The sequence below is a fragment of the Homo sapiens genome, chromosome 20 (genome assembly GCF_000001405.40).
Source record: "Homo sapiens chromosome 20, GRCh38.p14 Primary Assembly".
In the NCBI taxonomy this organism is placed as follows: domain Eukaryota; kingdom Metazoa; phylum Chordata; class Mammalia; order Primates; family Hominidae; genus Homo; species Homo sapiens.
The window spans coordinates 20,303,283-20,320,254 of record NC_000020.11 but is presented as its reverse complement, the minus strand read 5'-3'; the positions used below and the strand labels follow the sequence as shown (position 1 = coordinate 20,320,254).

Sequence of the window (16,972 nt, the reverse complement as noted above, 5' to 3'; positions counted from 1 at the left end):
CAGGTTTCAAATTTCCAATCACCTCATAAATGGCACAGATTTTTGTTTAACAGTTTATCTGAATCAGGATCCAAATAGGGTGATATGTTTTTAAAAACTATGCTAATTCATAGGCCCCCCTCCATTGCAAGTTTTATTTCTTGCAATTTATTTGTTGAGGGAATCAGGCTGTTTGTCACATAGTTTCCCACTCTGTATTTAATATACTTCAGCTCTGTGTTTTACATGTTTTACATGTTCCTCTATCCTCTCGGTTTCCTACATATTGGTGGTAGATCAACAGTCCTAGTCAGACTCAGGTTCAATTTGGCTTGTTTTTCGCAGGTGGTGTGTTTTCCCACCAAGGACTGCATGAGGTCTGGCTGCCTCCTTTTCTATATCAGCAGCCACTGATGCTCCATACCCATGTCCATGATTCCCTAGGGGGTTCTGGAAAATGATGATATTCTAGTCATACTATTTCTCCTTCATTTATGAGCACTAATAGTCCTATCCCATTGGTTCTTACTTGATGGATGGTAATTGTATTAGTCCATTCTTGCACTGCTATAAAGAAAGACCAGAAACTGGGTAATTTACAAAGAAAAGAGGTTTAATTGGCTCACAGTTGCACAGGCTATACAGGAAGCATATCTAGGGAGGCCTCAGGAAACTTTCAGTCATGGTTGAAGGGAAGCAGGCATGTCTTACATGGCCAGAGCAGGAGGAAGAGAGAAGGGGAGGTGCTACGCACTTTTAAACAACCACATCTCATGAGAACTCACTATTACAAGAACAGCAAGGGGAAAATCCGCCCCCATGAAACAATCACCTCCCACCAGGCCCCTCTTCCAACAATGGGGATTGCAATTCAACATGAGATTTGGGTGGGGACACAAATCCAAACCATATCAGTAATAGAATTATTGTTTGGAATTATTTCCTTTCAGACTTTTGAAGACATTGCCTCATTATCTCTTAGGTTCTGAGGTTGCTATTCAAAAATCTGACACCAGTTTGATTCTAGTTCCTTTCTAAGTGACCTGCTTTACTCACTGGAAGCTTTTAGGAGCTTCTCATTATTCCTGGAAGATGGGGAGCAATGCAGAACTATGTATTATGGGCAGGCCACTGCTTCACGCTAGGAGAACTCACTCAGCCATGAGGGATAACTTAGGACAGGCTGTATAGAGAATCAGGGTCTTGGGACAGCCAATGGGAGGCGGAGACAAGGGTTTTGTCTTCTCCGGCTCCTTCCTATCCACAGAGAATTACACCCTGCATTTCTGCCCTGCATCATGTGGCCTCTTGGGAGCCAGATGTTATGAACTGTGGTGGAGGATTTTATGCAATACCAGAAGTGGAAGGAGGAGCCAAAACCACTCAGGGAACCCAGAGAGGCTGAAAGTCTGTGAATACATCCAGTAAGTAACTGATGTTTAAGGAAAGCTTTTTGTCTGCCCAGGATCCCTCCTGACCCCCAAGCAGCCTTGCCCCCTGGCCTCAGGGCTGGGACATGGCCATGCTGATGGTCTAAGTGGGCAGACACATCATGGGAGCCAGGCTGTTTGGAGTCCTTCCCCAGGAACTTTTCAAGGTGGCACTAGGCAAGAGAGGGTGCTCTATCCTCTAAATAGCAAGCTGTAAGATGCATAAGCCTGGGACTCCCCATGATTTCCACCATCAGGGGAGGCCAATCCCAGAGAAGGAAGCAGGGACAAAGGGCCAACGGCGTTTCAAATCATGCCTCCGGTGCCAGCCCTGCACTCCTCGGTTTAGCTGTGGGAGACACGAAAGTCTCCTCCCAGTGTCCGCTGGTTTCAGCTGGGCTTCTGTCACTTGCAGACAAGATTCCTGACTAATGCTTATGACCAAGAAGAATATAAATAAAACCTTTTAAAAATGCTTTATCCAATAACCTCTTGAAATGAATGATTTTTTTAAAAACTCTGAAATTAAAAATGCTTCTCTGCTTCAGATCTCTTCCTACTTAGTGTGCTGCAGATTGAGCTGTTGCAATACAGGCCTAAGTTGGCACTTCAATCCAACACATAATTGGAAAAAGAGAGTGGGGTCACATTCGTTCATGTGTCAAATCCTCCCCAGGACTCCAGCAGCCTTGGAGGCACCCTGCATAAGATCCACTTGCAGATCTGTCCTGAGGGCAACGATTGACCCAAGAAGGGACGTCCTTCCTGGTACAAGAGAGGGTTTGAGTTGGGGGCCTGAAAAGCCCAGCAGATCCCTGGTAGCCAGTCCATGTGAATATCCTGAATGACTTCCAGCATTTGTCAATTATCACATGCAGAAAGCCTACAGCTTGCAGGCGCCGTTTGTCAGCTGGGGCTGCTAGTGGCTGGGAACTAATCATTAAGCCTGCCAAGGAGCAGAGAAGCCTTTCTCCCAGCAGCCTCACGGCCTCCAGCGTGGTGTACACTTTCCTATTTCACTTGGATTTGCTCCTAATGATTGAACTATAGATTATTAATGCCGTGAAACTCTGGGATCCCAGCGTGACTGCGCTGGGTTCTATTCTGCCCTCAGAGCCTTCAGCACGTATCCTGGCCTGGCAGACAGTGCCCCAGCAGCTGTCAGAGCCGCTGGGGCCAAGAGGGTACCGTGGGATCCAAAGAGTGGCACCTATTAGCAGCTGCAGGGGCATCGTTGGTGGCATTTGGTGCCCTCTTCTCCCCAAATTACTAGATAGAGTGAACAATAAGTCACAAAACACAACTTAAGGTTTGCGAAGAAGGTGACAAAAAGTATCTTTAAAAGAGAAGTGAAAATGGCTGAGGCCATGCTGGGGCTCTGCCATCTGTCACTGTGCACAGCTGTCTGGGTGTGTGCTGGGGACACCGCTGAGCAGCACGCACAGTGCCAGGTTGAAGACGTTTGGGGCCTGCAGCAGTGCAATCCCAGGGCAGAGAGAGGAGCTGTGCAGCCCAGGGACTGTGGAACAGTCCCTCCAGGGGTGATTCAGATCTGAAAGCTTCCTGTACAGCACCTCCTTTAGTTTTCAAAGACACCCCAGGGAATAATTATAAGGCCCCTTTTACAGATAAGGGAAACAAGGCTTAGAGGAATCAAGAGACTTGCATAAGAGGCCAGGCACAGTGGCTCATGCCTGTAATCCCAGCACTTTGGGAGGAGGCAGGCAGATCACTTGAGGTCAGGAGTTCAAGACTAGTCCGACCAACATAGTGAAACCCCATCTCTACTAAAAATACAAAAATTAGCCGGGCATGCTGGCTCAAGCCTGTAATCCCAGCTACTCGGGAAGCTGAGGCATGATAATCGCTTGAACCCAGGAGGCAGAGGTTGCAGTGAGCCAAGATCGTGCCACTGCACTCCAGCCTGGATGACAGAGTGAGACTCTGTCTGCCTTGGTTTTTTTCAGACAGAGTCTCACTCTGTCATCCAGGCTGGAGTGCAGTGGCACGATCTTGGCTCACTGCAAACTCTGCCTCCTGGGTTCAAGCGATTATCATGCCTCAGCCTCCCGAGTAGCTGGGATTACAGGCAACCCTTCATGCTAAAAACTCTCAATAAATTAGGTATTGATGGGACGTATTTCAAAATAATAAGAGCTATCTATGACAAACCCATAGCCAATATCATACTGAATGGGAAAAAACTGGAAGCATTCCCTTTGAAAACTGGCACAAGACAGGGATGCCCTCTCTCACCACTCCTATTCAACATAGTGTTGGAAGTTCTGGCCAGGGCAATTAGGCAGGGGAAGGAAATAAAGGGTATTCAATTAGGAAAAGAGGAAGTCAAATTGTCCCTGTTTGCAGATGACATGACTGTATATCTAGAAAACCCCATTGTCTCAGCCCAAAATCTCCTTAAGCTGATAAGCAACTTCAGCAAAGTCTCAGGATACAAAATCAATGTACAAAAATCACAAGCATTCTTATATACCAACAACAGACAAACAGAGAGCCAAATCATGAGTGAACTCCCATTCACAATTGCTTCAAAGAGAATAAAATACCTAGGAATCCAACTTACAAGGGATGTGAAAGACCTCTTCAAGGAGAACTACAAACCACTGCTCAAGGAAATAAATGAGGATACAAACAAATGGAAGAACATTCCATGCTCATGGGTAGGAAGAATCAATATCGTGAAAATGGCCATACTGCCCAAGGTAATTTACAGATTCAATGCCATCCCCATCAAGCTACCAATGACTTTCTTCACAGAATTGGAAAAAACTACTTTAAAGTTCATATGGAACCAAAAAAAGAGCCCGCATCGCCAAGTCAATCCTGAGCCAAAAGAACAAAGCTGGAGGAATCACACTACCTGACTTCAAACTATACTACAAGGCTACAGTAACCAAAACAGCATGGTACTGGTACCAAAACAGAGATCCAGATCAATGGAACAGAACAGAGCCCTCAGAAATAACGCCATGTATCTACAACTATCTGATCTTTCACAAACCTGAGAAAAACAAGCAATGGGGAAAGGATTCCCTATTTAATAAATGGTGCTGGGAAAACTGGCTAGCCATATGTAGAAAGCTGAAACTGGATCCCTTCCTTACACCTTATACAAACATTAATTCAAGATGGATTAAAGACTTAAACGTTAGACCTAAAACCATAAAAACCCTAGAAGAAAACCTAGGCATTACCATTCAGGACATAGGCATGGGCAAGGACTTCATGTCTAAAACACCAAAAGCAATGGCAACAAAAGCCAAAATTGACAAATGGGATCTAATTAAACTCAAGAGCTTCTGCACAGCAAAAGAAACTACCATCAGAGTGAACAGGCAACCTACACAATGCGAGAAAATTTTCGCAACCTACTCATCTGACAAAGGGCTAATATCCAGCATCTACAATGAACTCAAACAAATTTACAAGAAAAAAACAAACAACCCCATCAAAAAGTGGGCGAAGGATATGAACAGACACTTCTCAAAAGAAGACATTTATGCAGCCAAAAAACACATGAAAAAATGCTCACCATCACTGGCCATCAGAGAAATGCAAATCAAAACCACAATGAGATACCATCTCACACCAGTTAGAATGGCAGTCATTAAAAAGTCAGGAAATAACAGGTGCTGGAGAGGATGTGGAGAAATAGGAACACTTTTACACTGTTGGTGGGACTGTAAACTAGTTCAATCCTTGTGGAAGTCAGTGTGGTGATTCCTCAGGGATCTAGAACTAGAAATACCATTTGACCCAGCCATCCCATTACTGGGTATATACCCAAAGGACTATAAATCATGCTGCTATAAGGACACATGCACACATATGTTTATTGCAGCATTATTCACAATAGCAAAGACTTGGAACCAACCCAAATGTCCAACAATGATAGACTGGATTAAGAAAATGTGGCACATATACACCATGGAATACTATGCAGCCATAAAAAACGATGAGTTCATGTCCTTTGTAGGGACATGGATGAAATTGGAAATCATCATTCTCAGTAAACTATCGCAAGAACAAAAAACCAAACACCGCATATTCTCACTCATAGGTGGGAATTGAACAATGAGAACACATGGACACAGGAAGGGGAACATCACACTCTGGGGACTGTTGTGGGGTGGGGGGGTGGGGGAGGGATAGCATTGGGAGATATACCTAATGCTAGATGACGAGTTAGTGGGTGCAGCCCACCAGCATGGCACATGTATACATATGTAACTAACCTGCACATTGTGCACATGTACCCTAAAACTTAAAGTATAATAATAATAAAAAAAATAAATAATAATAATAAAAAAAAACAAAAACCAAGGCTTGTATAAGAAAGCATCACTCAGCAAGGTTTGAAGGACCCCCACTGCTATGGTTTATGGTTTCTTTTTCCCCAACAAAACTCATGTTGATTTTTTTTTTTTTTTTTTGAGATGGGGTCTCACTCTGTCACCCAGGCTGGGGAGTGCAGTGGTGCAATCTTGGCTCAATGCAGCCTCTGCCTCCCAGGTTTGAGTGATCCTCTCACCTCAGCCACTAAAGTAGCTAGGAGTACATGCATGCACCAAGACACCCTGCTAATTTTTTTTTTTTTTTTTTTTGTAGAGATGGGGTCTCACTATGTTGCCCAGGCTCCTCTTGAATGCCTGGGCTCAAGTGATCCTCCCTGCTGAGTCTCCCAAAGTGCTGGAATTATAGGCACGAGCCACTGCACTCGCTCTCATGTTGAAATTTGATCCCTAATGTGGCAGTGTTGGGAGGTGGGGCCCAGTGGGAAGTATTTGGGTAGTGGGGGCAGATGCCTCATGAATAGCTGGTGCCATTCTCATGGTAGTGAGTGAGTACTTGCTCTGGAGAAACTGAATTGGTTCTCACGGGAGTGGATTCATTCCCTCAGGATCAGTTTGTTTTAAAGCCAGAGTGCCCCTTGGCACTGTCTTTGCAGGTCTCCATTTCCCCTTTGACCTTCCCCACCATGTTATGACGTAGCAGAGAAGCTCTCACCAGAAGCCAGGGTCATGCCACTGTTGAACTCCCCAGCTTGCAGAACTGTGAGCTCAATAAACCTCGTCTTTACAAATTCCCCAGTCTCAGGTATTCTACTACAGCAACACAAAACAGACTAAGACACCCACGAGGTGCTCTCTCATTTTCACTCATGTTACTCGGTTTGGTGAGAATGAGGACACTACCTTTATGCCTAGAGAATGAACTTAAGGCTGGTATAATGTTAGAACCCGGGACTGGATCCAGGTTCTGACATGGATGCCATTCCCATCACTGCTACACAGACGTGTCCAGTGGGTACCATGGGCCTTGGACAGAATGACCATCTGCCATTGGAAAGAGCAAAACACCCTCTGTTTGCCTACACCGCAGCCTACTGAATTGCGGGGATATAAAGAAGCAACAAACTTGGGGTGTAAATCTCTTAGCCTGCTCAGGCTGACATAACAAAATGCTATAGATTGGGTGGCTTAAACAACAGAAATGTATTTCTCACTCTTCTGGAGGCTGAAAGTCCAAGATCAAGGTGATAACATAGTTAGGTTCTGGTGAGGGCTCTCTTTCTAGTTTGTAGATGGCCACCTTCCTGCTGTGTCCTCACATGACAGAGAGAGAGATAGAGAGAGAATCAGAGACAGAGAGAGAGTGACATCTGTCTCTTTCTCTCCTAAGAGTCCCATCCTTATGATCTCATTAAATCTTAATTACCTTCTAAAGACTGTATGTCCAGATACAGTCACATAGGGGGTTAGAGCTTCAACATATACATTTGGTGAGAGGACATAATTCAGTCCACAGCATTGGGGCTATACGCAAGGCTATCAGTTGGAAGACAGTAAGGCAATAGAGAAATTAAATAGTTAAATAATGAGATACAGAATAACTCAAGAAATGTTGGTTGGCATGGGTAGGATGGTGTATGTAATATGGGGGGGTATGCCATGTTTATTAGTCCGGAGCTGTTACATAATATATAATCAATGCATTCTAAAATTTGAAAAAATAATGGTACTTTAACAATGTTGCTCCACTGTTTTCTGGCTTGCATTGCTTCTGATGAGAAATCTGTTGTCATTTTCATCTTATTCGTCTGTAAAGAATGTGCCCGTGTCTTTTGTTGCTTTTAAGACTTTCTCTTTATTGTGGGTTTTGAGTAGTTTGATTATGATATGCCTTGGCATAGTTTTCTTCATTTTTTTTTATGCTTGAGATTCACTGAGCTTCTCAGATTTGTGAGTTTTCATCAAATTTGGAAAAATTTTGGTCGTTATTTCTTTAGGCCACTTGAAGTTGTCCCATTCCTCACTGATACCCTGTTCATGGTTTTATATTCTTTTTCCTCTGTGTGTTTTATTTTGGGCAGTTTCAATTGTTATGTCTTCAAGTTCACTTACCCTTTTCCCAGCGAGGTCTAATCTGCAACTAAGCCCATCCAGGGTAGTTCTTGTCTCAGACATTGTAGTTTTCATCTCTAAAAGTTTGATTTGGGTCTTTTATGTGTTTTCCACATCTTAACTTTTTAATCACATGGAATGCAGTTATAGTAACAGTTATAATAGCTGTTTCAACATACTTGTCTGCTAATTCTAACATCTGAGTCAGTTCTGGGTTGGTTTTGTTGATTGATTTTTCTCCTCATTATGGGTTGTATTTTCTTGTTTCTTTGCCTTCTCAGTAATTTTTTGATTAGGTATCAGAAATTGTATCATTTTGTTAGGTGTGGAAATTTTCAGTATTCCTATAAACACTCTTAAACTTGTTTTCAGATGTAGATAAGTTACTTGGAAAGCATTTGATACATTCATGTCTTGCTTTCAAGATTTATTAAGTCGGACTGCAGCAATGTTTGGTTTAGGACTAATTATTCCCTGCTACTGAGATGAGTCCCTTTTGTGTACCCTACCTATTGCCTCATTAATCTTAAAGTTCTCAAGTCTGGCTGGTGGGAACAGGCAGCGTTCCCAGCCTTGTGTGAGTATTAGACACTGTCATGCTTTTTCTAATCCTTTAGAGTGGTTCTTTCCCCTGTCTTGGGCAGTTTCCTTGCCCACATGGACTGACCAGTACTCAACTGAATGCTCCCAGGGGAGGCTTCTGCACATCTCCAAGCTTCTCTCTCTGTGCAACCTTCTCCTCTCCAGTACTCTGTCCTGACAACTCCACCTGCCTTGGTCTCCCCGGACCCTCAGCTCCCTCTCCCTCTGTCCTGACAACTCCACCTGCCTTGGTCTCCCCGGACTCTCGGCTCCCTCTCCTCCACTCAGGACTCTGCATGGGCTCTGCTTCCCCTTGCTGTGGCCTGGGAACTCTCTCAAGGCCGTCAGCTGGATCAACCACAGGGTTCACCTTCTTTGTTTCCCATCTCTCAAAGATCACAGTCCTTCATTGCCTGATGTCTAATATCTTTTTTAAAAATTTGTTTCTTACATTTTGGCAGCTATTTAGTTGTTTCATGTGGGAGGGTAAGTCTGGTTCCTCCCAAAATTTGAAAAAAGTTATAGAATTCCACAACATCTGCTCCTAGGATTTTGGATAAGGGTTTTGTGGACCTGTATATTATTAGAACCATCATCCTCACTGGTAGTAGATATAAATACAAACTCCAGAGTCTTCTTGATAGTTTTGCATTTTGTGGGGGCTGACTTCTGGTCAAGGTTGATTAGTTAGCTATGAGAGATACTGTAGACTGTTTCAGCCAGCCACACTCAAGATACTGTGTAGCATGATTTAGCCAAAATATCACAGGCCGGGAAGGGAAAGACTACAATTTCCAGACTCATGTCCAGTGTAGGTTCTACATGGGACTGAGTTTCATCCAAAGAGACAGCCCTGTGCAGGACGTGGACGATGGACATGAACACCATGAGGTGGAGATTCTGCCTCCACTCTATAAAACACCCTGAGGAGGGACTCTCCCTCACTCCATGGAACACCCTGAGGAGGTGCTTCCACTGCATTTCTTGCTTTTGCTGGCAAGCCTGGCTGTGGCAGTATTTGGTGTCAGCTGTAGCAGAAGGGGGCAGAAATCAGGGCTTAGTGTACCCATTTTGCTGGTGTGGATTTTGCCAGAGAGGATTGGTCATGGAGCTGGCAACTTTTGTGGCAGTTTCTCAGTTCCACAAATTCCTCACTGTGGCAGAGATTGGCTAGGTCTGCGGAGCCATTTTCTGAATTTTTCGTGGAAGGCAGTCTAAAGCCTGCTCCTCCAGCCCATTGAAGGAATTGTATAAAGCACCCATAACTGGCAGTATATTGCTTTCTGTTTAAACCAGCTAGAGAGGATTCTGCTGTCTGCAGTGGAACCTTAGCTGAGAGACGAACCATGGTACTTACAGTGTGGCTGAGGAAGAGGAGATGATCTGGCCCTGCCCTTTCCTGGTTCATGTGTGTCTGCTTTGCCAGGCTTTGCATTCTGTAGTTTCTTTTGAACAATCCGTTAAATGCTCATGTCAATTTTGTGGAGGGTTAGTTTAGTTAAAACCAGAACCAGATACACAAAAGCTGCAGTAGGTTCCAAAGTTAACTAATAAGGGCTGGGTGTGGTGGTAGTCCCAGCACTCTGGGAGGCTGAGGCAGGTGGATCATCTGAGATCAGGAGTTTGAGACCAGTCTGGGCAACATGGTGAAACCCCGTCTCTACTAAAAATACAAAAATTAGCAGGGTGTGGTAGCACATGCCTGCTACCCAGCTACTCAGGAGACTGAGGCAGGAGAATCACTTGAACCAGGGAGGTGGAGGTTGCAGTGAGCTGAGATTGTGTCATTGTGCTCCAGCCTGGGTGACAGAGCGAGACTCCATCTCAAAAAACAAAAACAAAAACAAAGTTAATTAATAAGGTTGACCCCTCCAAGCTGTGACACTGTCCCATTATGGTGTGTTGAGGCCATGTAGAATGCACAGCTGTCTTCCATCTGACCCAAGAGGGCACCCATGCGTGTGCTTTGAATACTAATAAAACATGATTTCTGTTTTTTTTTTAAAGATAAAATTATAAACAGAAGTTCTAATATTTTCTTCCTCCACACATGAATTATCCTGGGCATCTTCTGAGGTATTTTATCAGAGAGCAAAATTATTCTCCTGTCCCAAACATAATTTTTTTTTTGGCCAATCTTCTTATAATAGGTAAATGATGAGTCAAACACAACAACTGCTTTTACTAAAGAATGGTCATTGCATGATGGCAAACCTACTCCTATTTGTCCTGTATGAAGGAAACTTGACAGAAAGTCAGGAAACTCTGGTTCTGGTCCTATTGGTGCCACTGTCTTGGTTGTGGCACGTGGAAAGCCCGGCCACTCTGGTTCTCCCTTGCCTCACCTGTACGAGACAGGTGTGCGGGGCTGCAGTTAGGGTCTGCCTGGCACCCAGGAAGGAGAGCTGTGCTGTCTGCAAGCTTGCTGCAGGTCTTATTTCTAGGAGGAAATCGCAGTTCCCCTTCAATTCTTTTCATTTCATAGTGCAATCATCTAAAATAGGTTCTGGGTGGTGGGATTAGGTATAGATTTTATATTCTACTCGGCTTTTGAAATATTTTTCTGCATTTTCTGTAATAAACACATATTGCTTTTGGAGTGGAAATTTTTAAAAATTAAACAAATATGCTTAAATAACCCTCAAAAAGAAACCTATAAAGACTCAGGTGTAGGAGGGAAAGAAGGAGAATGCTGCACCTGTGAATCCCTACTGCCCAGGTGGCTTCAAAGCGTCTCTTTGCAATTGTTAGTTTGCCATAAAAAATTTAGGCAGGCAGGCCAGTTCCTTCTCGTGGCTCAGTAGAATGAGAACATGATTTCTGAAATGCATTTATTTTCACAGTTCCAACAACAGTAAAACAACTCCGTTGTTTCTTGGAGTTCGGCAAAGAGGTATTTATATTAAAGCAGCTTAGTAGCCTTAAAGATAACCACGGCTCATCAGCTATTATTTTAAACTCATAAGTAATAACCTTCAACCACATGCTGCCAGATGGGTATGTAATGAAATGGAGGAAGAAAATCTATAAAGGACTTTAACTCCTGCTGTACAAGTTTGAAAAGAACAGCGATTTTACGAAGATGTGCAGAGGGATGGAAGTCAGTTCTGAACCTACCAGTCAGCATTCCTAAACCCCAAATCAAGACTTGGGCTCTGACAACAAGACAGTATGTTAGTAATCAAGGTTGTCTTCATAACTCTGGCAGGGAAGTGCCAGGCTGCCTGGGGTTGGCCAGCTGAGCTTGAAACAAGTATAAGCATAGGGCAAGACAGAATTTTTATCTCACCCAGCAAGGCCGAGTGTCCCTTGCAAGGCCTGCAGAGTGACCAAGTGCCCCAGAAAGCTTACCTGCTCCGCCCCTTCCCCCACACCAGCCCCCTTCCCCCACACCAGCCCCCTTCCCCATCTGTACACCTTTGGCACATGATCTGGAGAGAATGTTTTCTAATTGACCCCACCAAAACAGGCACAGAGAGAAATCACTTCCTCTGTCTCCACTGGGCCTTCACTGAGCACGCATCTGATAGCTACATCGGCAGGTCAGAATGTCGGATCCAAATGGGGCTGGCAATTAGCATTTTAGGGAACGACTGTTCATAGATGCTACATCCAACACGCCCACTCCAAATTCCATGGATGCAACTGGCCTACAGCAGCACTGTCCAACACAGCTTTCCACAACAATGGAAATGCTCTATTCTCCGCTGTCTGATATGGTCGCCACTTGTCACGTGGGGCAGTTGACTCTCATAGTGGACAGTGCAGGTCTAGAGTATTAGTGATTATCGACAATGCATGAAACAATGTTCCAAAGCAACTTTTAAAACTATATGACATTAGATTCTAGACACACTTTACAACTCAAACAGCTCATAATTTTACATTTTAAATGATATTAAGAATGTATTTGGCTGCTTTGGGTGCCCAGTGGTTGGAAATGAAATCATTTTTAAGTGAAACTTATATGGAAGCATCTGATCCATCCCTTTTCTATAAAGTGCCCTGGGAGGTACATTATCGACTCTCATCTTAGTACATTTATTCTAAGTAAAGCACCAGATTTCTCACTTATTTAATTATTGATAATGACCTCTCTCTAAATAAATTTTTTTCTTAGAGCATGACTCTGAAAACAAGCATATTCAATATCATATGTAATCCCATACAATTTTAAAAATAAGATATAGCAAGCACATACACGAATGCAATTTTAAAACATCTGCTCATTTAAATTATTAAAAGAAGCACTGCATTTTCTTAAATTTGTATTAATTTGGGAGGGGGAGGGAATACTGTATAGAAGGCTGGAAGTGTTTCTGTCTCTCCATAAAGGATAATATTGATGTGTAGCGAACAGGAACACACGAGCTAAAGTCATTACAAAGCTCTGCCCTTGTATAGTACTTTACATACTTTTAAAAAACTTTTTGCACTTGTACTTTACTGTCCATCAACATATACTTCTATCCCATGATGTGGGAAGATTTATCATGGATTACATCTCCATTTTATGGGTGAGGAAACTGATGCTCAATGAGATTAAATGGCTTCTTCAAGTTCACAAAGCTGATAAGCAAGAACGCAGGAATTTGACCCCTCTGTTGGTCTTAGTCTAGTGTCCTTTCCATGTTAAGGAAAGGGAAGTGATGATTTGCTTTTACAGACTGTAGGAGTTTCAAACTAAATTCTCTTAGGATATATACCAAGTGTGCACAGGGGCACAGGACAAAGAGGGTGGTCGGGGTGGCAGCTAAGAAGACAAGGGCGGGGGCTATGGATAACTGAGAGGTGGCAGTGGTGGGCTCACCATAAGGTATTTCTTTGTTTTTGTAAAGCTTGGTGAAGAGTTCAGTTTTTATTCGTAATATTGCAGATATGAGTCAACAGACGTGTGCAAATTGTGTCTCACACTATATGATTTGTTTCATGTACGGTTCACATTTCAGCACGGTCTTCTGGGATGCAGGGCCATCCCTGTGCTGAAATTGTCTCCCCTTAGTATTAATATGTGATTTAAATATACACATTTCCTTTCAAATAATGAAAGCACTAGTTTTCTTGTATAGCCAGGGAGAATGCCAGCGCCTTCCTCTGCCTGCCTGGAAAGGGCAACGTAAGGACTGTGGGAGTGCACGTTGACTCAGTGGGTGGGGGGAATCCTGGTGGAGAGTTACCTGTTAATAGACATGGGCTCCCACCCTCACCCCAACTTCAGATTGATGTTAACTGGGGCTCAATTTCCTCCCTCATTTCTTACATTCTCATTAATAAAAGCCTTAAACATAAAACAAAATCTTGCCTGTTAGAGGGGGATACTCATGTTTCTTTCATTCATTGACGGGCACTATCCTTCAGGCAAAGATTCTTACTAACACTAGTGAGACTGAGGCACTTGAAATCAGAATTTATACATTCCTGATACCTCAAAACCATAAAAAATCTCAATCCGAGCCTTTCTAGTAAGTCCTAACTAACATGATATGCCAAGTGATATTTTCATGGTAAATGAGGTAAATGTTTCAAAGTTCATACTTCTTGCAGAACTCCATGTGTTCATTTCTCTGAACATTCATTTTGGACTATGCAAATGGGTGAGTCTGTTTTTCTTCCACACTATCATCTTTGGCATGAATATCTGAAAACAGACATGTGCTGGCTGTAATTTCAGGGCAGTTCAAACATGGTCTCACCTTTTACCCCAGGAAAGGTTACTTCCACACAAATGCCATAGTGGAAAGAGGTGGGAGGTGACATATGCTAAAAAAGACCCCTAGTTTTCATCAGAATAGGATCGCCAATAAGAACAGACACATATTGTGTCCAGTGGACTTTCGCCTCCTCCTTGGTCTACACTTCCAGATCTAAAGTTGACCATCTTGGGAACAAGTAAGGTTCAAAAATTTGAGTTTGGCCTCGTGGCCTCTGGAATAGTAGCAGAAACATCTCTAGGTAAGGATCTGCCTGTTGGAGTAAGAAGGCCAAGGCATGGTCAATGAGGAATCCCCAGAGTACGTGAGCAAACTGACCTCGATTGCCTTTTATGAGGGCAGATAAATAGCCTGTAATTGAATGAGTGGGAAGCAAAAGGAAGAGAATGGATTTTGATTTTTAGCAAATCATTTGGGAAAGGATTCTTTGCGAGGCTGGTCGCACAGGACTGGCACGATCTGAAGTGAAACAGAGGAGCAGGAACCCTTACAGAGTCTACAGAGAGCAGGTCAGTGGCCTGGCACACGGCCGCAGGGAAGCGTGTGAGGGATGAGGCGGATATTGGGAGAATTACCATCCACCACCTTTTAGGTATGGACCAAAAAATTGAGAAGCTGGAGTGGGCAGTCATCATTCAAGAAGATTTTGATAAATCCGGAAAAACAGGCACCTGGAATGTAGTATGCAATTTACCACTGAACACAGCAAAAGGCTGCTGACTACAGAGGCGCAGAAAAACATTTTAAAGTCATGATTAAATTATTCCAACGGGAGTCAAATCAATAAATTAGGGGGCCACGTGGGCTGGCAGCATCCTGCTTTGCAGTTCCAAAGACAGATAACACAAGGTGGCTTTCCTGAGGGAAGAACTTCTGGAGCCTCACAGTTCAAAATGGTAATGGCAGCCTTGTAAAGGGCTGCTCAAATCCCATTTAGAACACTGTGCACAGCAACACTCAGCCAGTAAATGTAGGCCACCGGCGTGTGCGGGGAAGTGTGGAGGCGGTGGTGGCGCGGGCGCGAGGGCCGGGCTGTCTGAGGGCAGTCTTTGAGAGCTGAGCATGTTAAGATGTGAAAAGAGGTTTAATCAAGGTTTATGAGTATCTGATGGGCTCATACAAAGAAGCTAGGGCAAGACCTATTTACACCACGAGGATAAAGGATGCACAGACTGCTAATTAAGGTGAAGAAGGGAGAGATTCTGTAGGCGAGACCTCTCTTTTGCAGGGTCATCGATAAGTGGGGGTGAAAGACGATGGAGTGGAGTCAGGAAAGCCGAGAAGACACGGGACAGGGGTGTTCGGGTACCTGACAGGCGGCATCTCAAGAAGCCGCCTCAGCCTCCCCTCTCCTCTCCACCCACAGCTCCCATTTCCCCACTTCTCCACACCCTCACTGAAGGTCCTTTCGCGCCCGGTGTCCTGAAGGGAGGAGCATTTTCAGCAGGGCAGAAGGTGCTGCCATTCTAAATACTGCCAAGGGAGTTGGCAGGCGGGGGCACTGTGAGGTTTTGGAGAGGCGGGTGCAGGTGTGTGTGAGCGTGTGACTGGGCGTGTGAGTGAGTGTACATTGTGAGTGCCGTGTGAGTGTGCATGAGTGTGTGCACACGTGTGAGTGAGGTGTGCATGAGCGAGGCCTGTGGGGGCACAAATGCTTTTAAGGGGAAGATTGGGGAAAGGAAGATTTTTAGTAACATATTTGTGTGACTTTAAATGCTGGTTGGTTCAGAAAGCAACAAACGATATAAAATTGGCTCTATTCTTTTTCCAAAGTAGTAAATCAATCCATTGATCAAATTCTCTCTCTCTCTCTCTCTCTCTCTCACACACACACACACACACACACACACACACAGTCACCGATGGTGGATTAGTTCTGTCTCTCTCTTCAGTGCCAATGGTTTGTACTGGTACTCAGAGGTAAAAACAGAGAATAAAATATAGGTGGAATCCAAGCCAGCCTGGGCCGCAGACACTTCGCTTACTGTGGTCCCGTGACAGCTGTCTGCCTGTGCATCATGGCGGCTGACAGCTCGGCCGCCACCTCGTGTCCCCATATGGTTCCAAGTGAGCCCCTTGCAGGCAGCCAGGGTCTGCCTGGGAGGCCTCGGCTACCACAGCAACATCTGACCCGCAGGGCTGCCACCGTTCCCATTGGCACAGCTAGTGCCTGCGCTGTTTTGGCCCTCGATGGAGTGAGAATAGATAGGGGGAAGTGGAGAGGAAGGATCCAAAGGATTTCTCTGAATGCGGAGAGGAACTGATACTGAAGTCATGCCTGACTTGCAGAACAACAATGCAGCTGGTTAACTGTCAGCCCTCCCGGCAGCAGCGGGCACTGAGGTAGGTGCCCCAGACGTGGTGGATGGAAGTGCGCAAATGAAACGTGCCTGGTCTGAACGAGGGACGTTGCTGATGCTGCCAAGGTCAGGAAATCAATCGGTAATCATATCGCGGCCAAAATCAGCTCAACCATTCACCCTGCTTGGAAAGAGCCTCGCCAGCCAGTCTGACAACAGACAGGGCAGGAGTGCTGGCGCAAAAATTAGCACTAGGACCTGGCAGCATTTCGTGGCACTTGAAAAGAATGTGGTCGCAGCTGCATGTACCCACTAACACACGCCTGGAGTAACTGACAAGGCACAGCGGTGCTCTCAGGACCTCACTTAGAAATGACTGGCGGCCATCTTCCTGTCCCTGCTCCTTTCTGACAGATGTCCATCGGCACCTCCTGATAGCCAGTGTCACCCCGTCTTGCCATCCCAAACACTCATCACAAATCAAATTAACTTTTGAAATTATTACTCTCATCAGTTAACAGCGGCACTCCCTGTAGTAGTCTCAA

General features: G+C 44.5%; 1 protein-coding gene and 1 pseudogene across 1 annotated transcript in view, besides 1 other annotated feature; both read right to left on the bottom strand.

The window, feature by feature from the left end:
• The window catches only part of CFAP61 (cilia and flagella associated protein 61), a 308,167-nt gene that overhangs the window by 40,444 nt on the left and 250,751 nt on the right, over positions 1–16,972 (bottom strand). The gene's annotated exons all lie outside the window — the stretch shown is intronic.
• Positions 2,795–2,894: an enhancer, noted in NCBI's record as "active region_17607". NCBI's record gives its function as "activates an Ori minimal core promoter by ATAC-STARR-seq in GM12878 lymphoblastoid cells {active_cell/tissue: GM12878}" and the evidence as "EXISTENCE:reporter gene assay evidence [ECO:0000049][PMID:35858748]".
• RN7SL690P (RNA, 7SL, cytoplasmic 690, pseudogene) lies at positions 3,261–3,500 on the bottom strand (annotated as a pseudogene).